This window comes from Homo sapiens, chromosome X, assembly GCF_000001405.40.
Source record: "Homo sapiens chromosome X, GRCh38.p14 Primary Assembly".
NCBI lineage: Eukaryota > Metazoa > Chordata > Mammalia > Primates > Hominidae > Homo > Homo sapiens.
Genome location: NC_000023.11, coordinates 56,254,893 through 56,279,367, shown reverse-complemented (window position 1 = coordinate 56,279,367; position 24,475 = coordinate 56,254,893). Strand labels below are relative to the sequence as shown.

At 37.6% G+C, this 24,475-nt stretch overlaps 1 protein-coding gene across 18 annotated transcripts in view; it reads right to left on the bottom strand.

Annotated features, from left to right (window-relative positions):
• Window positions 1-24,475, bottom strand: part of KLF8 (KLF transcription factor 8) — a 383,409-nt gene that overhangs the window by 12,164 nt on the left and 346,770 nt on the right. For 11 of the 18 annotated variants that reach the window (NM_001324105.1, NM_001324104.1, XM_047441797.1 and 8 more), the window contains 3 exons: window positions 13,624-14,188; window positions 9,879-9,990; window positions 9,047-9,186 (listed from right to left, as the gene is read on the bottom strand). In NM_001324105.1, coding sequence (NP_001311034.1) covers window positions 9,047-9,186; window positions 9,879-9,990; window positions 13,624-14,188 — 817 coding nt within the window. Of the gene's footprint in view, window positions 1-9,046; window positions 9,187-9,878; window positions 14,189-24,475 lie in introns of those variants that run through there. The other 7 variants (XM_006724575.3, NM_001159296.2, NM_001324099.1 and 4 more) reach the window with 5 other exon arrangements.

Genomic DNA, 24,475 nt, shown 5'->3' with positions numbered 1-24,475 from the left:
TATCCATGTAACAAAACTGCACTTGTACCCTTTAAACTTATACAATTGAAAAATAAATGGAGAAGAGGGGCAGAGCAAGGGGGCCAAATAGAATGTTCTACCAATCATGCCCCAACAAGAACACCAATTTCACAACTATCTACACAAAAAAGGACCTTCATAAGAATGAAAGTTGTAAACATGTACCCTAAACTTAAAGTATAATAATAAAAAAAAAGAACGAAAAATCAGATGACCACTCACAGTACCTGGTTTTAACTTCATATTGTTAAAAGAAGCACTGAAAGAGGATAGGAAAGAGTCTTGAATCACCAACACCACCCCTCACCCATCCTTCTGCAGTGCCTACATGGTGTGGAGAGAGAATCTGTGTGCTTCAGACAGGGATAGTACAGCACTTGTGAGACACTGCATTAAATTCAGTGCTGCCTTGTCACAGCAGAAAGCAAAACTATGCTGAACTCTGCTGACTCCCACCCATGGAGGGAATATTTAAACCAGTCAGAGCCAGAAGGGAATCGCCCATCCCAGAAGTCAGAACTTGAATTCTGGGAAGACTCACCACTATGAGATAAAGTGCTCTGGGGCCTTGAATTAACTTGAAAGGCAGTATAGGCCACAAGGACTTCAAGTCTTAGGTGAGTCCTAGTGATGAACTGGGCTCAGAGCCAGTGGACTTGCGGGGAGCATATGATATATTAAGATATCAGCTGGATCAGATAAGGCAGTGGTTGCACCACCCCTTCCCCAACCCTAGGATGCACAGCTCACAGCTTCAAAAGAGACCCCTTCCTTCCACTTGAGGAGAGGTGAGGGCAGAGTAAAAAGGACTTTGTTTTGCATCTTGGATACAAGCTTAGCCACAGTAGGATAGGGCATCATTCAGAGTCGTGAGGCTTCTTTTCCAGGACCTAGCTCATGGATGACATTTCTAGACACACCCTGGGCCACAGGGGAAGCTGTTGCCTTGAAGAGAAGAACCCAGTTCTGGCAGGACGCATCACCTACTGACTAAAGAGCCCTTGGTCCCCGAATAACCAGTAGCAAAACTTAGGTAGTACACCATGGGCCTAGGATGAGACTCTGAGACTTGCTGGCTTCAGATGAGACTCAGCACATTCCCAAGCTGTGATGGCTATGGGGAGACACTCCAGCTGAGGAAAGGTGGAAAGAAAAGTAAAGGGGACTTTGTCTTGTGCCTTAGATACCAATTGGCCACAGAAGGATAGAGCACAAGCAGGATATTGGGGTCTCCAGTTCCAGGATTATGCTCTTGCATGGCATTTCTGGATCTGCCCAGGGCCAGAGGGGAGCCCACTGCCCTCAAGCGTGAGTCCCAGGCCAAGCAGCATTCACGATAAGCTGAATAAAGAGGCCTTGGGCCTTATGGGAACATCAGCAGTAGCCTGGAAGTACTCCCTGTAAGCCTATGGTAGTGGTAGCCAAGGGGTGAGGCTCCTCTGGCTGTGGAAAGTGAAGGGAAGACTAGGAAGAACTGTGTCTCATGGTTTGAGTGCCAATTCAGCCACAGTACAATAGATCACCAGGTGGACTTCTAAGTTTTGACTAGAGTTCCTGGCTTCCAGATGGCATCTCTGGACCTACCAAGGGCCTAGGAGAACTCACTGCCCTGAAGGAAAAGACATAAGTACGGCTTGCTTCACCAACAGGTGATTGTAGAGACCCAGGGCCTTGAGTGAACACTGGCAATAGCCAGGTAGTGGTTACAGCGGTTCTTGGCTGAAATCCAGTGCTGTATTAGTTTAAGGCCTGACCTAGCACGTCCGAGTGGTGGTGGCCACAGGGATGCTTGTGTCAACCCACTCTCAGGTCTAGGTGGCTCAGAACAGAGAGAGAGACTGTTTGTCTGGGATAAAGTAAAAGAAAAGAACAAGAGTTTCTGCTTGGTAATCCAGAAAATTCTTCTGGATCTTATTCAAGAACATCAAAGTGGAACCTCTACAAGTCTGCAAGAACCATAGGGCTTCTGGGCTTGGGGTGTCCCCTAATGCAGAGATGGCTTAGATCACAACACCCAATCCCTTTGAATATGTGGAAAGACTTCCTGAGAAGGATGGATACAAACCAACCCAGACTGTGAAGACTACAATAAATACCTAACTCTTCAATGCCCAGACGCTAATGAATATCTACAAGCATCAAGACGATCCAGGAAAACATGACCAAACCAAATGAACCACATAAGGCACCAGGGACCAATCCTGGAGAGATATGTGACCATTCAGAAAGAGAATTCAAAATATGTTTTGAGGAGACTCAAAGAAATTCAAGATAATACAGAGAAGGAATTCAGAATCCCGTAAGTTAACTAAGAGATTGAAACAATTAAATAGAATAAAGCAGAAGAAAAAATTAGTGAGCTTGAAGACAGCCTATTTGAAAATGCATAGAGAGGAGACAAAAGAATAAAAAACAATGAAGCAACAACTATAGGATCTAGAAAATAGCCTCAAAAAGGCAAATCTAAGAGTTATTGGCCTTAAAGAGCAAGTAGATAAAGAGATAGGGGTAGAAATATTCAAAGGGATAATAACACAGAACTTCCCAACCTAGGGAAAGATATCAATATCCAAGTACAAGAAGGTTATAGAACACCAAGCAAATTTAACCCAAAGAAGACCACCTCAAAGCATTTAATAATTAAACTCCCAAAGGTCAAGGATAAAGAAAGGATCCTAAAAGAAGCAAGAGAAAAGAAAGAAATAACATACACTGGAGTTCCAATATCTTTGACGAGACTTTTTAGTAGAAACCTTAAAGGCCAGTAGAGAGTGGCATGACATATTTAAGATGCTGAAGGGAAAAAAACTTTTGCCCTAGAATAGTATATCTGGTGAAAATATCCTTCAAACATGAAGGAGAAATAAAGACTTTCCCAGATGAACAAAAGCTGAGGGATTTCATCAATACCATGCTCATCCTACAAGAAATGCTAAAGGGAGTACTTCAATCAGAAAGAAAAGGACATTAATGAGCAATAAGAAATCATCTGAAGGTACACAACTCACTGGTAATATTAAGGACAAGGAAAAACACAGAATCAGGAAGAAATCCAAAACCTGAACAGACTAACCAACAAGTAATGAGACAAAAGCCATAATTAAAACTCTCCCAGAAGGTGGAGGTTGCAGTGAGCTGAGATCATGCCACTGCACTACAGCCTGGGCAACAGAGTGAGACTTGGTTTCGGGGGCGAGGTGCGGGGGCGGGGGGCAGGTCTCCCAGGAAGGAAAGCCCAGGACCTGATGGCTTCACTGTCGAATTCTAACAAATATTTAAAGATTAGCTCATATCAATTCTACTGAAACTATTTTGAAAAATAGAACAGGAAGAAATACTCCAAACTCATTCTATGAGGCCAGTATTACCCTGATACCAAAACCAGACAAAGACACATCAAAAAATGAAAACCATAGGCCAATATCACTGATGAATATTGATGCAAAAATCCTCAACAAAATACTAGCAACACATTAAAAAGATAATTCATCATGTCCAAATGGGATTTATCCCACAGATGTGGGGATGGTTCAGCATATGCAAATCAATTAATGTGATACATCATATCAACAGAATGAAAGATAAAAACCATTTGGTCACTTCAATTGATGCTGAAAAAGTATTTGATAAAATTCAACATCTTTTCATAATAAAAATCCTCAGAAGACTGGGTGTAGGAGAAACATACTTCAACATAATAAAAGTCATTAATTACTGACCCATAAGTATCATACTAAATGGGGAAAAACTGAAATACTTTCCTCTAAGATTGGGAACATGACAAGGAGGCCCAATTTCACCTTTATTCAACATGGTACAGGAAGTCCTACCTAGAGGAGTCAGATGAGAAAAGAATTAAAGGGCATCCAAATTGGAAAGGAAAAAGACAAATTATCCTTGTTTGCAGAAGACATAATCTTATATTTGGAAAAACCTAAAGCCTCCAGAAAAAGAGCTATTAGAATTGATTAAAAAAAATTAGTAAAGTTATAGGATAAAAAACTGACATACAAAATCCAAAACATTTCTACATGCCAACAGATGAACATTCTGAAAAATAAATCAAGAAATAATCTCATTTACAATGGCTCCAAATAAAATGAAATACCTAGGAATTAACATAAACAAGAAAATAAATGATCTCTACAATATATACTATAAAACATTGATGATAGAAACTGAAGACAGAAACGAAAGGAAAGATATTCCGTGTTCATGGATTGGTGGAATACATTTTGTTAAAATGTTTGTACTACTCAAAGCAATCTACAATATTAATGCAATCTCTATCAAAATATTAACGACAATCCTCTGCATAAATAGAAAAAAAACCCCAAAATTTACATGGAACCACAAAAACCCAGAATAACCAAAGCTATCTTAAGCAAAAATAATAAAACTGAAGGAATCACATTATGTGACTTTACATTATACTACAGAGGTATAGTAATCAAAATAGTGTGCTGCTGGCATATAACAGACACACTGATCAGTGGAACAGAATAGAGAACCCAGAGATAAATCTATGCATTTATAGTGAACTCATTTTAGACACAGGTGCTGAGATCATACATTGGGGAATGGACTGTCTCTTCAATAAAGGGTGCTGGGAAAACTGGATATCACAGGTAAAAGAATAAACTAGAACCCTATATCTCACCATATACAAACATCAAATCAAAATGGATTAAAGGCTTATGTCTAAGATCTGAAACTATTACAAGAAAATATTGGGGAAAGTCTCCAGGACATTGAACTGGGCAAAGATTTGTTGAGCAATACCCCACAAGCATAGGCAATAAAAGCAAAAATGGACAAATGGGGTGCCATAAAGTTAAAAAAATCTTCTGCACAGCAAAGGAAACAATCAACAAAGTGAAGAGACAACTCACAGAATGGGAGAAAATACCTGCAAACTACCCATCAACAAGGGATTCATAATCAGAACATACAAAGAGTTCAAAAAACTCTATAGGAGAAAAATCTAATAATCCAATTTAAAAATGGGCAAAAAAGCTGAAAAGACATTTATCAAAAGAAGATAAACAGGCATATGAAAAGGTGCTCAACATCACTGATAATCGGAGAAACGTAAATCAAAACTACAATGAGATAACATCTCACCTCAGTTAAAATGGCTTTTATCCAAAATACAGGTAATAACAAATGCTGGTGAGAATGTGGAAAAAAAGGAACCCTCATATACTGTTGGTGGGAATATAAATTAGTACAATCACTATAGAGAACAATTTGGAGGTTTCTCAGAAAACAAAGTAGGGCTATCATAAGATCCAGTAATCCCACTGCTGGTTATATATCCAAAAGAAAGGAAATCAGTATATCAATGAGATATCTGCACTCTCATGTTTATTGCAGCAGTATTCACAATAGCCAGAATTTGGAAGTAACTGGTGTCCATCAACAGATGAATGGATAAAGAAAATGTGGTGCATATGGGCAAAAGAGCTAAAAAGACATTTATCACTCACCTGTTCATAGCCTCTGGGCAAAACAACTAGGGCTCTGGGTCCTTCTACACAAATTCTCACACAGCAAATGTAACATAGCAGATGTTTACAAGAAAGGAGGGCTTCCTCTTTGTCTAAGGTGTCTAAGTCCCAATTCTGAGCTTGGAGACCACTAAGGAGGAGTCTCCAAGGCAAAGGTCACACATGGAGAATGAGATCCTATCATTTGCAACAATATGGATAAAACTGGAGGTCATTATGTTAAGTGAAATAAGCCAGGCACAAAATGACAAACTTCACATGTTGTCACTTATTTGTGGTAGCTAAAAATTAAAATAATTGAACTTACATAGATAGAGGTAAAAGGATGGTTACCAGAGGCAGGGAAGGATGGTGGGATGTCAGTGGGTCGGGGGGCAGTGGGGATGGTTAATGGGTACAAAAAATAGAGAGAATGAATAAGGCCTAACATTTGATAGCACAACAGCTTCATTATAGTAAAAAAAAAATCATTTAATTGTACATTTTAAAATAACTAAAAGAGTATAATTAGCTTGTTTGTAACACAAAGGATGCCCCATGCTTGAGGGGACAGATATACCCCTTTACTCTGATTTGACTATTACACATTGCATTCCTGTATCAAAATATCTCATGTAACTCATAAATATATAAACCTACTACGTACCCACAAAATATGAGAATAAAATAAAAATAATTGTTCGTACTGATTAGGTTGTAAAGTGATAGTATTTGTGATACACTGGGTTAAAATATGTATTATTAAAAATTTTAAAAGAAAGAAAAGAAAACTCTATCAAGAAATTAAGTAGGGTTTTCTTATACAGATATTTGAGAGTGGACACTGCTTAAGATAGGTTTAGGGAAGATTTTTCTGGGCAGAAGACATTCAAATTGGGATCAAAAGGATAAGAAATGTCATGAGATAAAATTAATAAGAGGCAAGATCCTGTAGGGCCTTTTAGGATACTCTATTTGGATTTCATTCAGAGTGTGATGGGAAGTCCTTGGAAGATTTTAAGTAGCAGATGTTATATAATCTTATTTATATTTAAACAAAACAAAACAAAAGCAAACAGATGAAAATCCTCTGGCTACTGTGTGGAGAATGAATTGTAGTGAGGAAAGGCCTATTACAATACTGCAGGAATGAGGGCACTTACAGAAATGCCACGTTATTTCCTAAAGCAACTAAGCCTATTGTAAGTCAAGCAGTTGGGGCAAATTAAATGTTTCTGTGAAATGCCTTCAAGTGAGTATTCCTATGGTCACATACCCATGGCAAAGGTATGGGTCAATCCTAAAAACTGAGTAGAATAAGAACAATTCCGAATCTAAACAAAGTGAGGTTAGGGGCAGTGACTCACGTCTGTAATCCCAACACTCTGGGAGGTCCAGGCAGGCAGATGACTTGAAGTCAGGAGTTTGAAACCAGCCTGGCCAACATGGTGGAACCCCATCTCTACTAAAAATAGAAAAATTAGCTGGGCAAGGTGGCACATGCCTGTAATCCCAGCTACTCGGGTGGCTGAGACATGAGAATCGCTTGAACCCAGGAGGCAGAGGTTGCAGTGATCCGAGATCACGCCAGGCTAAACTCCAGCCTGGGCAACAGAGCAAAACTGTCTCAAAAAAAAAAATGTAGTGAGATTCATGTAGACATCAGTTGTCTCCATTCATCAGTCATCTGGCTGTCATGATCTCTTATCAGGTAAGGCATTCACCTATAACACTCAAAGCTAAGAATTGTGGATATTTTAGGGCCATTTTTTCCCTTCATATGGGAAGCTTACACCACTAGGGAGAAAAACAGTACTGAAATCCGAAAAGTAAATAAAAGTAAATTGTATCTGTTATCTCAGTTTAAGAGTCGAGAGGTGACATAGGAAAGACAGCCAGACTTTTAGTATATCATAAAGTAATTTCCAACCTGCCTACACTTGGGACCTCCTAGAAGGTAGCCGCACAATAGGTTACATTGAAATTCAATCCATAGAGTTCCAGATTAAAATAGTCAAGTGGGATTACCTAGTCCAAACCCCTCATCTTACGGTTGAGGAACCTAAGATCAAAGAGGTAGGAAGACATATCAGATCCCACAGCAGCTTAATTGGAGACTTGGAATATATGGAATATATATATAGTCAGCATCCATCTCCCATGGAAGAGAAGCAAACAAATACATCACTAAATAATAATAGTGTCATGGGAATGTTTGAATAATGCAGCCTGGAAATCACTCACCTGTTCATAGCCTCTAGGCAAAACAACTAGGGCTCTGGGTCCTTCTACACAAATTCTAACACAGCAAAGGTAACATAGCAGATGTTTACAAGAAAGGAGGGCTTCCTCCTTGTCCAAGGTGTCTAAGTCCCAATTCTGAGCTTGGAGACCACTATGGAGAAGGAGTCTCCAAGGCAAAGGGCACACATTGATAAATGACAAGCTGCATCTGGCTTCTAGGCAGGTTTCTTTGAATTCCTGGGGTTATAAAAAATTTTTGAACTAGAAGCCAACATTCAAAATCAAGGACATTTCACATAATAATCTGGATTTTTTTTTTTTGCTTTTCTTTAACAATTAAATTTACTAATACAGTCGTCCCTCAGTATCCATGGGGGATTGATTTCAGAGCCACCTACATTCCCAACCCCACCCATCGGGTGGATAACGAAATTCATGGATGCTTAAGTCCCTGATATAAAATAACATAGCATTTGCATATAATCTATACACATTCTCTCCTATATTTTAAGTCATCTCTAGATGTACTTACGTTACCTAATACCATGTAAATGCTATGTAAGTAGTTGTTATACTGTATTTTAAAATTTGTATTTTTTTATTGTTGTATTGTTATTTTTGTTGTTTAAAAAATATTTTTGATTTGTGGTTGGTTGAATCCACGGATGTGGAACCTAAGAATATTGATGGCTGACTACATGGATTTGAGTGGCAGCTCTCCTTCTTCAGATCAGGTATGTGCTGTTCGGTTTGACAGGATCACTACCAGGTCTGCTTTATTTATTTATGTGCACCTTTTTTTTTTAATGTGAACAAAGACACGTTAATGGTTAGTGGATTACAACCTGCTTTAATTTCACATAGTTTAAATTGTTCTTGTGCTTTTCCATGCTTAGTAAAACTTGTGAGACCCTGGTAGTAAGGAAGGGAGTAATGCCTTAATCTTTGCTTAAGTGTTGACTCCGCAATTAGAAAGACCCACAGGGCTCACTGGGAATGATGACTATTAAGACACCAGATTTAGTTTAGTGTTTTCCTAGGCCAGTTTTATAAAATCTGCCTTAGAGTAGGGACAAGAAATAGGGATAAAAACCATGAATGGAGCCTGTGCCCATGAGTATAAATGCATCAGTCTTTGTTTCAGGACTTCATTCTCTGTCTCTCAGAAATTTTCTCTCTCTCTCTCTGCCCCTCTCTCTCTCTCTCTCTGCCCCTCTCTCTCTCTCTCTCTCGTGTGTGTGTGTGTGTGTGTGTGTGTGTGTGTGTTGGGGGTGAGATGGGAGTGGGCAGACCTGTATGGATTCTGCGGTGAGCTTTCAGGTGAGAGCTTTTGGTGTACACTTTGCTGCATCCTGCAAAGTCACATTGGTGAATCCGTCTTCTCTTCAAGTCAAGCGACTCTTCTCCCTGCATTTGGGCCATTGCTGCTGGTCTGATCAAAGAAATAGAGATAAAGCCAAACAGTGACTTTAAAGTGAAGGCTAAAAAAATGAATTTACATTCATTGGTGCCACATCATATCGGCTTTTAATTTACGTGAATTTAATGCTAGGTCCCCCCAAAAAGAAATAATTGGAATAGTAAAAACAATTCTGTCAACTAGGCCATTCTGCTCAGTAGGTACAGGTCCCTCAGTAGGTGCTCAGAGAAAGCATGGGAGGTGGTAGTGTTTCCTTCAGTGGTTGTGTTCCCAAACAGTGTGAGCATTTCACTTCAATAAGTTTCATTTTCCTGCTTAAAGAAATTTGTTTTTCATACAACAGTTGTTGCTAAACACAAGCCAACTACTTCCAATTAGTTTCAATATTGAAAGACAAAGCTGTTTTAAACTTACAGAGAGAAACAGTACATAACTACACTTTATGGGAAATTTGAAGATTTTTCAAAAGAAAAATTGATGATCTACAGTTAGAACATAGCTCTACTATAGCATGCATGTACATGCACATGTGTGCACACAAACTCATATACTTTCACTGGAAAGGCAGTCTCCCTATATTTCTTGTCCTCAAATTCTTACTCTTGTGTCTGATCATTAGTTCCACCTATACATATGTGCAAATGTACACACACACACACACACACACATACACAAAGACAGACTTGAAGACAAAAAGTACTCACTCTTGCTGTAGTCCCTGCAGACTCTGCAAGGCTGAGGATCCACTCTCAATTGTACTCTCCTCACTGTCACTTGGAATTTCCAGTGGAGACATGGAGGTGGGGTCAACTTTCACTAAAAGCAAAGAAAGGGAGCAGTGTGAGCTGAAGATGTATGTGCCTCTTTAATCATTTTCAGGATTCCCAGTTTGTCCCACCTTAAGAAGTGGCAGCAAGACAGAAAAATAAAGAAATAAAAAACAAGATGAAAGAAGTGTATTTGCATGGAAGGAAGAGAATAACATTTTATTTTTTTTTTTTGCATAGCAGGGAACAGAAATGCCTTTAAAGTAAGAGTAGTATGAAGAGTTCTGATACCACTATGAGTGGTATCAAATGAGAGTGTCTCTAGGATGTGGTCTGGGTATGATTCATCTTTCTATCTCCAGCTACCAGGACAGGGTCAGCTGAAAAGTTAGTTTCAACGTGTGTGTGTGTGTGTGTGTGTTGAATTGAACTCACTGAATAGCTCCTGGCTGTCCTAAAATCAAATTCTAGGATTAGTCCAGATGTGAGAACATCCACCTTGGCCTTTGTGCTCCTAAACAGAAATAAGTCAATGAGATGAAACGTATACCTACCACCTAGTAGGTGCTTGATACAACCTTCCTTTCCACCTATGTTGGGAGAAGCTGTCAAATATTCCTTATTATCAACCCCTGATGTTTCTAATTCCTAAAAACTCAATCAGGTGGTCAACAGTCTCCTAGATCCAGTGAAACCTTCAAAATTTCTATAGAGAAGAAACTTGGGGGTGGTGATAAGGTGGGGAACAAGTATTTGGTTAAAAGAGTTGTCTCTATACTTTGCATATCATTCACTAAAAAGTTTTAAGCATGTATCTTGAGGTGTGCATGTTTGTGCATGTATGTGATATACATGTATCGGTATCCTACAATTTTGTATACATTATAAGAAAACAAACAAAAAGTAGTATGTCATCTCACTTAAGTTAGAGTGACTATTATCGAAAAGACAAAAGACAGTAAGTGCTGGTGAGTATGTGGAGAAAAGGGAACACTTACACACTGTTGATGGGAATGTAAACTAGTTATAGCCTTTATGGAAAATAGTATGGAGGTTCCTCAAAAACTTAAAATTAGAACTACCGTATGATCTGGCAATCTCCCTTCTGGGTATATATCCAAAGGAAATAAAATCACATGCCCAAAAGATAACTGCATCCCTGTTTAGTGCAGCATTATTCACAACAGCCAAGATGTGGAACCAACCTAAAATATCTATCAACAAATGAATGAATAAATGAAATGTGACATATATATATATACAATATAATATTATTCAGTTATAACAAAGAATAAAATCCTGCCATTTGTGAGAGCATAGATGAACCTGGAGGACATTATGTTAAGTGAAATATGCCAGGCACAGAAGGACAAATAGTGCATGATCTCACTCATATGTGGAATCTAAAAAAGTTAATCTCATGCAAGTAGAGTAGAATGGTAGTTACCAGAGGCTGGGGTGGCTAGTGGGGAGGGGGATGGGGAGATATTGGTCAAAGGATACGTAATTATAGCTAGATAGGAGGAATACATTTCAAGAGATCTATTGTATAGCAAGGCAAGTATAGTTAATGATGATACATTTTATTTATTAAAATTGTAAAGAGAATGGACATTAAGTGCTCTCACCACAAAAATGATAATGAGGTAATGCATTTATTATTTAGCTAGATTTAACCATTCCACAATGCATATGTACTTCAAAACATCATGCTATAGATGATTAAAACATACAATATTACCTGTCAATTTTTAAGGGTAAGAAAATACAAATTTTGATACTTTCTTCTTGCACTCCAATTGTTTTATATGTGCCCCCTAAGGTTTAGTAAGCCCCCCATTTTGGATACTGATGTGGTTTGGCTGTGCCCCCACCCAAATCTCAACTTGAATTGTATCTCTCAGAATTTCCACATGTTGTGGGAGGGACCCAGGAGGAGTTAATTGAATCATGGTGGCCAGTTTTCCCCTGCTATTCTCATGATAGTGAATAAGTCTCATGAGATCTGATGGGTTTATCAGGGCTTTCCGCTATTCTTTCTTCCTTTTCTCTTGCTGCCACCATGTAAGAAGTGCCTTTTGCCTCCCACCATGATTCTGAGGCCTCCCCAGCTATGTGGAACTGTAAGTCCAATTAAACCTCTTTTTCTTCCCAGTCTCGAGTATGTCTTTATCAGCAGCATGAAAACGAACTAATACAGACACCATTGGGCCAATGCCCTTAGCTTGGAACCACATTGAGCACATTTAAAATTTATCCTGTTTATTTAGAGTGGCTCTGATGGACTGATGATATTATGGGGACTATTCAAAGCTCCTTCAAACCATCCTTTGATGTTACCACTGCCTTTATCTCAGCATAAACTGTCACACGAGGAATTTTATTTCCTTTTTTGTTTGTTTCCTTTTTTTGGTTTGTTTGTTTGGCTCTCCCTTCATATATGGAATGGATATCACATCTCAAAATAAGATTATGAACACTTATCATTACCACAATTAACCACTAGTCAATAATAATATTTGTATTCAGAAGACCAGTGCAGAGTCTCAGCAACTTGATGCTTAGTAGTATGTTGTTTTTCAGCCTCCTACATTTAGTACAGGGCATCAAATTTCAAGGGTAGATACTCTTTTACAGTAAGCTGAAATCTGCTTCCTAGTCATTTCCACCCCTTGGCCTTTCCGATTTATGCAAAACATTATCAGCCTGCTTTAGAGGCCACATAATTTTCCTTGATCATTCCTGATTACAAACTAAAACAGATATACCTCTGGGAGGAAAACTAGTGGTTGGGGGATAGTGGTGGAAGAGAGACTTAATTTATACCTTTCTGAATTCTGAACTTATTTTAAAAATAAAATAAAATGGAAGATTATAGCATTTGAATTCTCTCTTGGACAAATTTTCAAGTTTGTTTGTTCATCAAATTATCTGTTGCAAGACAACTCCTAGCACTGTGTTAAGTTCTCTGGAGGCATACATAAAAAAATTAAGATAGAGTATTATTTTTCAGGAATTTACAATTCAGTTGTGAATAATGCCCAAACTCTTGTGATACAGGCAAATAAATAAGTAAAATGGAAAGTGATAGATGCCAAATGAGGAAGAACACAGGGAAGATGACAATATTTCAATTACTTCTTTTGTAGGGAAGAGAAAAGGGAAAGTATTGGTAGAGGCAGGAGCTAATACTGGCTAAGTATGTTTGAGATAGAAATATTGTTCTCAACTTTCCCACCAAAGCATTCTGAATGGCATAAAATAAACACATTCTCCTGAAAAGTCCGAGGGTGGATGCCTTTAGTAAGCTTCAACTATTTTTGAAGCATGTGGTTTATCTTAACAGGTTTTTAAATTTTGCATTTTGTAATACAAGATAATCATATTTTAAATATAAAATGCTTAAATTATTTAATATCAAATAATGTGGAAGTTCCAGGAAGTTGTTTGATATGTCACTGATAGATATGCATACTTGTACTTGTTTGAGAAGCATGGTCTAATCAAGACTCATTGTACATTCTTAAGCATTAAAAAGACATAAAAAACAGTACTTTTGAAAGATTACTCTTGAAGCAGTGTGCAAGAATAATTGGAGGAAGTGAAAAGAGACAGGAGATAGGATGACTCTAAAAGGGAATAGATTCAGGAAGGCCAGGAAAGAGGCAATATTGTTACTTACCTGATCCAGCATTTTTACCATCTCCTCCAATGAGTGGGACTGTAATGGCTGCAGGGCCCCCATCTGCAGGCAAAGTAGTATACACCATGGGCAGAGACTGCACTACCACTGGGATGGTCTTCAGGCCACCCATCTTATTTGGCAGACTGACTGAGGGGATAGTGTGAATGACATGTAAGATCTGCTGGCTACCAGTGCTCTGAGAGGAGGTCAGGACAGAGCCTGGGGTCAGAACAGTAGGAATGTTTGCTGAAGTGCTCATGTCAGATGTTGACGTGGACACCACAAGGGTCTGGGGAGAAGACTGTGGCTTGGGGGGACGTATTGGAGCTTGTAGCATGCTAGCAGGCTGGAGAGGAGCCTTGGGCTTGTGAAAGGAGAGGTCAACTGGTTCCACTTGGGGCAGGCTGAAATCACTAGCCAAAAGTTCTTCTGGGGGCTCAATCTTGATGTCATTAAACAGTGCTGGGTTCTCCATGGGGTTGGCATCCAGGAGTGTTGGAGAAGTCATATTACTTCTGTATTCTATCTCAGGGGGATCTCTGTTCCGAACAGAAGCAGTGACCTTAAATAAATAAACAAATGAGAGATGCATAAGTCAGTGTTAGTACCCTGAAGAGACATGCAAGCAATGTAAAAAAGAAATCTCTATTCATTTCACATGGAAGGAATACATGGTGCTGGGAGAAATAAGGCAGGAGTAAACTAAAGAGAAAAACAGACGGGAAACTTTACTATCTGTAAGTACCAGGTACTGTATCCGGCAATTGTTAAAAATTATTTCATTTAACGTTCACAATAATCTTGCAAAATTATTTAAAGTCAACACTTTCTGAGCATCTACTATAAGCTCAGTGGCAGCACACATCAATAAAGTACAGCCAATAAGTACATACCAACATATTAAATATAATGATAGAATAATGTGAATAGTTTATAAATCATACCATAATAAATAATGTAACAGGCATACAAGCAAGGCGTTTTAGAAAAACAAAAGGGAATGACTCATTCTGACTAGAAAGGGAAGGCTTCAAGGAGGAGGTGATATTTCAGCTGAGTCATAGAAAATTAATAGAAATTTTCTAGGCAGATAAGAGATAAGAAAGATATTCCTGTCTATAGAGCCATAACAACAGACAGTATAATTATAGAATAAACTATGAAATAAACTTGCAATACAGTTAGTTGTATTATATGCAAAATTGAACTCTGCAACTTTTTAATTCTGGGATTTTTAAAAAAAACTAATAAATGATCTAAATGATCATAAATGATTTAAACTAATAAATAAATTTATTAGTTTAAAAAACCAATTTATTAGTTTAAAAAACCAATAAATACATTTATTAGTTTAAAAAACCAATAAATACATTTATTAGTTTAAAAAACCAATAAATACATTAGTTTAAAAAACTAATAAATACATTTATTAGTTTAAAAAACTAATAGTTTTTAATAAAAAACTAATACTTTTTTTAAAAAACTAATAAATGATCATTTATATGTAATATATGAAATAAAGCCTCAACCTAATTAAAAACTTTCTAAGAATTCCATGAATTCAAAGGTCAAGGATATAATGAACTGTGTATGCCACTGCCAAGCAACACTCTGGATCTTGAAGATGATTTTGGAGATGGTGGTACCACCTCTTTAGCCAGTAAACAAACAAGCTTCCATTATCTATCAGCATGATACTTGAATTATGGGAGTTTTAAATTATGAAAAATGTTAAGGAATACATCCTTTATATAAAACATAACCACTTTTAGTTTTGTATATTTGGAAGATGAGGAAAGGTAGAGTTCAATGAAAGGTTGGGTGATAGAAGATAATTGTTTGGAAGAGAGGAGTAACAAGGGAAGAACTATTTCTGTGAGATTTAACTAGCTTCTTAATGAAGATTGATTGAAAGAGGAATAAAACTAGATTCAAAGACATTCAAAAGAAAGCAAGTGGAAAAATCTCGATGAGACATGTAAAAATATTTGAGTATTGACTGGATATTGGACAATATTAATGAATTAGTTAATTTTAAGGTGTGATAATTATGTTATGCTTATGATTTTTTAAAATTTAGGTGAGAGATAATAAGGGTCTGAATTCAGAGAGCAATAAGTGGCAGGGGAGGCAGTGTCTTCTTGCTCTGACTTTATTTTAAAAACCCTCAGAGCGCTGCAGTGATCTATAATCACACCACTGCACTCCAGTCTGGGTGACAGAGCAAGACTCTGCGTCAAAAACACATGACAACAATGCTCAGAGCAGGCTGGGAATGAGTAACGGCACCAAAAACCCATCCGTGCTTTGTCTCCAGAATTTGGCCAGACTGCCATCTTCTTTTCCCTTCTTTTATGCTACAACACTCTTGGTTTCTTGATTTGCCAGCACCTATCCCAACTCAGCCCTTGTTTGTGGTCCAAACATTGCTTCAATCTGCTCCTCCAGGACATGATTTCTGTGATTTGTCCCACTGTTTCACATACTGCAAATGTAACCCATCCCTCATGGGTGGATTTGACCCATCCAGATAAGGGGGGAGTAGAATCCTGTTGACAGGGAGAGGAAGTTGTCAAGATTGGCTCTGCTGAACATAAAACTCCCCTGTTCTCAGAATCCCCCAAATCAACTTAAGCTCTTATTTTTCCTACATTTCCCACATAACTCTTCACTTGAGTAGCTCCATTCCCAGATTAAAAAGATAGAATCCAAGGAATCTTCAAAAGAAAAAATGTTATCTCTTTCCATAGTCTATCATTGCTGTCAATAACAGTGAGAAATAGAGTTACAATAGAAAGCATAAGAAGAGGTTCAGTGTAGGGCGGGCGCGGTGGCTCATGCCTGTAATCCCAGCACTTTGGGAGGCCAAGGCAGGTGGATCACTTGAGGTCAGGAGTTCGAGACCAGCCTGGCCAACATGGTAAAACCCCATCTCTACTAAAAATGCAAAAATTAGCCAGGTATGGTAGCATGCACCTGTAGTCCCAGTTACTCTGGAGGTTGAGGCAGGAGGATTGTCACTGCCCTCCAGCCTGGGCAACAGAATGAGACTCTGTCACACAAAAATAATAATAATAATAATAATAATTCACTGTAATATCATTTTCTGTAAGAATATAGTTGTGGGTGCAGGTGTATAAATAAACACAACTTGCCACTGAAATTAAGAAAAGATTTAGCTAAATTTTAGGGACTTTTTGGACTAAGAAACCTGAAAAAGCTGAAGCTTTGAATCCTAACTATAAAATAAACACGACTTTGGCAACTTTTACTCTCTTTTGCCAAAGAAAGGCCATTTCAGTGAGATGAGTGCTGCCTACAACAATGTTACTAGCTCAAGGCCTTGTGTTTAGCTGATACTTGATCTGCAGGTATGCATTTTATTGAAAAACATTACGTAGGAACATCTAAAATGGAAACTGATTGATGAAAGTCAAGAAACTGAAGAACTGATAGCCTATTCTTATTGCCTTGATGAGATACAGTGTTACAGGGTCCTGCTCCAACAGGCCATCATTAGTTGTCCTTTCATAGACTAAACCTATTTTGTGGTTTGCCAATTCTTAACCAAACCCTGTCTGCAGCAGGGCTTCAATCATTACTTCTCTCCTGCCATCAAAAGGCTTTGAGAGAAGTGTTGGAAGGGGAGTTGTTTGGGTTTTAGTATCTTAATAGTAACTTCCTCAAAGCATAGTGTCACATACTTTTTTCTGTACATATCACTCCCAAGTATGCCTCTTATGTCTAAGTGAATCTATCTTGTAGCAAGTATTTTCTGGGTGTAAATATTGTCTTCTGAATGCAAGCTTTCTTAAGAAAACAGACTGTTCTCAAAAGTAGGTCTCAAGGTTGACCTTACTGTTCCTTCCTTTGTGGCTTAAAGACAAGCATTCCATATCTACACACTATCAGGGTGAATAAGTTTTGTTTGTGTGCACTGAGGATTCTTTTTTCAATATGATCAAAATAATTTTAATAAAAATATTGTTATACAGTCTAACTTATTCCATAGTTTGAATATAACCCTCCCTATGGTTAAAAAAAACCCCAACACCCTATTTGCTTTACCTTATCTTTATAGATAGCATATTATGCTTGAAGGTTCTGAAGAAGACCTTCAAGTCTTGATTGAGTGAGTTTTTGTCCCTAGAATTTTGGTGATTTTAAGAATCCTCACTAAGATGACTCAGGATGGCTACCTATTTCATGCTTCATTGAATATAATCACTTCAGCTTTGAAACTCATCTGAGGATTGTTCTGTCATCAGATTTTTCTTTTAAAGTAATCTTTCTTCATTTTTAGTGTGGTGTGATGGCTTCAGTTTTTAAGTGTTCTCTAGTCAATCACTATCAAAGAGAATAGCTACTTTCCCCATTTGCTATTTTAAGACTTTATCCTGAATTTCCGGATTTCTGAATCTATGAAGAAGGTTGTGCATGAAAGAAAACAAAGAAACTTAGGGGTGGTTTGAAGACAAGCTTTAATTTCCACAGTGCTACTCCTCAAATACCCAGAATCCTTATCAGGTTTCCTTAAGCCAATTTGAGTGGACAAAAAAATATAAAAAGAGTTATTTATTCATATATTACTAAAGATGAGACCCTTTCGGTTCTTAGGAAACACCCCTCTCAATTCTAGAAATAAACTCTGAGAAAAGTTGGTTAATTTCACAAATATTTAAGCATTTGATTAAGATAGGTAGAGAGGCCCTGAGAATCAGTGGAATCAACTGTTACAAAGTTTCCATTTTTCATGTATTTGAAACAGCTCTGATGTGGAGCTTGAAAGTGGTAATGCAAGATTAGAAATGAAGAACAAAATACTATATACAGCACAGTAGGTGGAAGGAGAGGAAGGGATGTTATAGAAACACGATAAAGCCTAGGCTCCTCCCAAACAGAAAGAGGAAACCTGTTTTTGTAAACAGGTACCTTCCAGCTTTGCTCTGGGTTAAACCAATTAGTTTTATGCCTGGATACATATGCACACATGTATTGTACACATTCATGTTTAGGTCAAAAAGTCTGTTTAACCTTCTAAAACTCAATTCTTTTTCCAATAAGAGCATTATCTGTTTGGGTATTAGAAAATGGAGCGGTGGATGGAGATGGGTATTATTAGAAACCTAGACTTAATCTAACAAACCCGGCAATTTTAAGAGATTGGGATGGTAGTAGCCACAATCAGGCAAAATGAGATCATAAATGTACAAATGTATGTACATATGTATATGTATGCATATATTTGTTCACTAGGTATTTGCTTAGTACCTAGCACAAAACTATAGAAAATGTGAAAAATACTAAATCAGTTTTTGTTTCTCAAAGAATCTAAGGTTGTTTTTGGGTAATACATGGATGAAGTTATTTTATTTTAATATTTATGCTTACTCTATTGTACTGTACATTGGAAAATATATATAACACATTGTAGTGGGCTGAATGGTGACCCTCAAAAACACTCGTCTACACCTCAATTCCCAGAGTCTTTTTGGAAAAAGTATCTTTGCAGATGTAATTAAAGATCTTGAAGAGATCCTGCTGGATTATCTGGGTGGGCCCTAAATTCAATGACTAGTGTCCTTATAAGAGACATACAGAGGAATAACGCACAGAGCCACAGAGGAGAAGGTAATGTGAAGATGCAGGCTGACAGTGGGGTGATGGGGCTACAAGCCAAAGAATACCTATATGTACCAGAAGCTGGAAGAGGTAAGGAAAAGTTTCTTCACTAAAGCCTTCAGAGGCAGCATGACCCTGACAATAACTTGATTTCAGATTTCTGGCCTCCAGAACAGTGAGAGAACACATTTCTCTTGTTTTAACCCACCTAGTTTGTGGTAGTTTGTTTCAGCAATTCTAGGAAAGTAATACTTCACATCAAACCGAGAATTCTCCAGATAGCTTAGGACAAAACTAATATAGATTTATTTATTTATTTATTTAAATAATTTTAAAGTATGTAAATAATATTGATGGCAAGGATGTGGCAAAAATCGTGAAAGTGGTAAGTAAATAATTGAAGTTTGGGAGACAAAAAATATTACTGGGGAGACAAGAGATATTTACATAAAGCAGTTGACAATAGAGAACAGGTACCACATTAGTGACTAATACAGATAATTTAGTGTTCCAGGAGCATGATTTCACTAGAGATTCGAGACAGTTGGGGTTTTCTATGTATGTTTCATGGAAGAGGTAGAATTGGAATTTGAACCCTAAGAAAAGTAAAGAGTTTGGTGAGCTATACTAGCTCACTGAGGCACAATCCATGTAGAAAAAACAGTGTGGGGAAAAGTGGCACAGAAATGTATGAACCCTGAGAAAGCAGCCCAGCTTTAAAAAAAGAGAGGAAAAAAAAGAAAGGTATGAGCCAGTTAGATAGTATCATGGAAATATTGTTCATTTTCTTGGGCGTGACAGTGCTGATGTAGTTATGTAGGACAATGTCATTATTTGTAGGTGATGCATGCAGAATAATTTAGGGGTAAAGTTTCTTGATGCAACTTACAATAGTAATAAAATGGGGGGAGAGAGAGAGAGAGAATTAGGCTGTGTGAAAATATGTGCCAAATATTAACAATATTAAATTAGGGTAAAGGAGAGACATGTATGATAAAATTTAACCCTAACACTGCTCATACATTTTGACCAAGACATCCCACTTGTAGGAAGTAATCAGAAACGAAAAATAAAGGGCAGGTGACAACCAAATGCTCTTTCACTGCATGGTATGTTGATACAGAAATTTAGAGAAGGGAGAGCAGCATGTGTGCCCTGAGCTACACACCCACCCACTAGTCCTAACTTTTGAAATAAACAAATCCTATAATGAATCAAACCAGGAGGCTTCTCCACACTAGAATGATGCCAGCATTGCGTAGTTATAGAACACAAACTCCTGGTCCTTGTCACCTGAGACATGGCCAGTGTGCTGTGGCCATGTATCACAAGCACTCAGGCTTTTCTAAAAATAAGATATCCTGGAAATGCCAAGAAACAAACAAAAAAAGTGCTTAGATCCCTTACTATCCAGACTTTTCTACACATTGAACCAATTTCAAAGTGCCTCCAAATTCTGGAAGTTCAGTATACCTAAAGAATGCATAGAAAAACATTTCTAGAATTATACTTAGGTACACTGAGATCTCAAAATAAGGTAGCTTTGGCCAGGTGCGGTGGCTCACGCCTGTAATCCCAGCACTTTGGGAGGCCGAGGCTGGCAGATCACGAGGTCAGGAGATCAAGACCATCCTGGCTAACATGGTGAAACCCTGTCTCTACTAACAGTACAAAACAAAATTAGCGAGGTGTGGTGGCAGGCGCCTGTGGTCCCAGCTACTTGGGAGGCTGAGGCAGGAGAATGGCGTGAACGCAGGAGGCGGAGCTTGCGGTGAACCGAGATCACACCACTGCACTCAAGCCTGGGTGACAGAGCAAGACTCCATCTCAAAACAACAACAACAACAACAAAGGTAGCTATGCACGCTCAATGACATTTCATAGAGTATTTTTTATTACAAGTACAATAGATTTTTATCTAATACTACTTATACTCAGCTTCCTCTTGGTATTAACTATGAGTAAGCTCTAGCAACAGGCAGAAGTTTTCCAACAATTAGCAAGTTTTGATGTGCTAATAATTCCTAAATGCAAAAGCTACGATTAAGGTAAATGGGACATCAAATAGGGCTAAATATCATTAAAACAGTACAAAGGATTCTCATCCATATGCATATGCAACTTAAGCAAATTCATTTATACACCATGGGCCAAACAATGATTGAGAACAATTTTTAAAACTGACTCCTAGATTTCTCAAGGAACTTAATACAGAACTACCATTTGACCCAGCAATCCTATTACTCGGTATATATACAAAAGAAAATAAATCATTCTACCAAAAATATACCTGCACTTATATGTTCATCACAGCATTATTCACAATAGCAAAGACATGAAATCAACGTAAGCGCCCATCGATGGCGGAATGGATCAAGAAAATGTGGTAAAGATATACCATGGAATACTATGTAGACATAAATAAGAACAAAATCATGTCTTTTGCAGCAATATGGATACAGCTAGAGGCTATTCTCCTAAGGGAATTAATGCAGGAACAGGAAACCAAATACTGCATGTTCTTATTTATGAGAGCTAAACGTTGGGTACTCATGGACATAAAGATGGCAAAAATAGACACTGGGTACTACTAGAAGAAGGAGGGAGAGAGGAGAACAAGGGTTGAAAAACCATTGAATACTATGCTTACTACCATGGTGACAAGATCATCCATATCCCAAACCTCGGCATCACACAATACACCCATGTAACAAACCTGCACATGTATCCCCTGAATCTAAAATAAAAGTTGAAGACACTCAACAAAGAAACATCAGACTTAATCTGCACTATAGACCAAATGGATCCAATATATATTTACAGAACATTTCATCCAATGGCCGAAGAATACACATTGTTTTCCCCAGCACAAGGATCATTCTCAGTGACAGACTATACGTTAGGTGACAAAACACACCTTAAGACACTCAGAAAACCTGAAATAACATCAAGCATCTTCTCTGACCACAATAGAATAAAACTAGAAATTAATAACAAGAGGAATTTAGGAAACTATACAAACACCATACACCAGTAGTATTATAAAACATTAATTTATTAATGTTTAATAATATTATTAAACTTTAACTTAATTAGGGAAATTAAAAAATATGCTCCTGCCAGGCAAGGTGGCTCACGCCTGTAATCCCAGCACTTTGGGAGGCCGAGGCAGACAGATCACCTGAGGTTGGGAGTTCGAGACCAGCCTGACCAACATGGAGAAACCCCGTCTCTACTAAAAATACAAAATTAGCCAGGTGTGGTGGCACATGCCTGTAATCCCAGCTATTTGGGAGCCTGAGGCAGGAAAATCACTTGAACTCAGGGGACAGAAGTTGCAGTGAGCTGAGATCACACCATTTCACTCCAGACTGGGCAACAACAGTGAAACTCTGTCACAAACAAACAAAAAAACCAACTACAACAAAAATTGCTCCTGAATGACCAGTGAGTCAATGAAGAAATTAAGAAGAAAATTGAAAAATTTCTTGAAACAAGTGATAATGGAAAACAACATATCAAAACCTATGGAATATAGCAAAAACAGTCATAAGAGGGAAGTTTTATAGCTGTAAGTGCCTACATCAGAAGACAGAAAAAACTTCAAACAGACAATCTAATAATTCATCTTAAAGACCTAGAAAAGCAATGATACCTGCATATTCTTTTGGAAAAAAAAATAGAAAAACAAGAGCAAACCAACCCCAAAATTAGTAGAAGAAATAACAAAGATGAGAGGAGAATTAAAAGAATTTGAAATAAAATACAAAAGATCAGTGAAACAAAAAGTTGTTTTTTGAAAAGTTAAACAAAATTGACATACCTTTAGCCAGGCTAATGAGAAAAAAAGAGAGAAGATCCAAATAAATAATATCAGAAATGAAAAAGGAGACATTACAACTGATATTGCAGAAATTCAAAGGATCATTAGTAGCCACTATGAGCAATTACATGTCAATGAATTGAAAAATCTAGAAAAAAATGGACAAATTCCTAGACACATATAACCTACCAAGATTGAACCATGAAATCCAAAACATGAACAGACCAATAACAAGTAATGAGATTGAAGCCATAATAAAAAGTCTCCTAGTAAAGAAAAGCCCAGGACCTGATGGCTTCACAGCTGAATTCTACCAAACATTTAAAGAAGAGCTCATACCAATTCTACTGAAACTATTCTGAAAAATAGAGGAGGAACTATTTCCAAACTCATTCTACAAGGCCAGTATTACCCTGATACCAAAACCAGACAAAGACACTTCAAAAAAAGAAAATTACAGGCCAATATCTCTGATGAATACTGATGCAAAAATCCTCAACAAGCTACTGGCAAACCAAATTCAACAATATATTAGAAAGATCCTTCATCCTGACCAAGTGGGATCCCTGGGTGCAAAGACAGTTCAACACACAAATCAATCAATGTGATACATAATATCAACAGAATGAAGGATTAAAGACCATGATTATTTCAATTGATGCTGAAAAAGCATTTGATAAAATTCAACATCCCTTCAAAAAACTGGGGATACAAGTAACACCTCAGCATAATAAAAGCCATATAAAACAGACCCACAGCTAGTATCATATCGAATGGGGAAAAACTGAAAGCCTTTCCTCTAAGACCTGGCACATGTCAAGGATGCCCATTGTCAACACTGTTATTCCACATAGTATTGGAAGTCCTGGCTAGAGCCATCAGAAAAGAGAAAGATATAAAGGGCATTCAAATTGGAAAAAAAGAAGTCAAATTATTTTTGTTTGCAGATGATATGATCCTATATTTGGAAAAACCTAAAAACTCCACAAAAAACTATTAGAACCCATAAACAAATTCAGTAAAGCTGCAGTATAGAAAATCAAACTAATCAAATCAGTAGCATCTTTATGTCAACAGTGAACAATCTGAAAAAGAAATAAAAAAGTAAACCTGTTTACAATAGCCACACATAAAATTAAATACCTACAAATTAACCAAAGAAGTGGGAGATGTCTACAATGAAAACTATAAAACACTGAAGAAAGAAATTGAAGAGGACATCAAAAAATGGAAAAATATTCTATGTTCATGGATTGGAAGAATCAATATTGTTGAAATGTCCATACTGACAGGGACAGGAGGCAGGGAAATTCTAGGCAGAAGTGGGCAGGTCCCTGGTGAGGGCCCCACCCTGAAGCCTGGAACCACAGTCCAAAGTGAGAACTTATATTTCCGTTTTCCTGC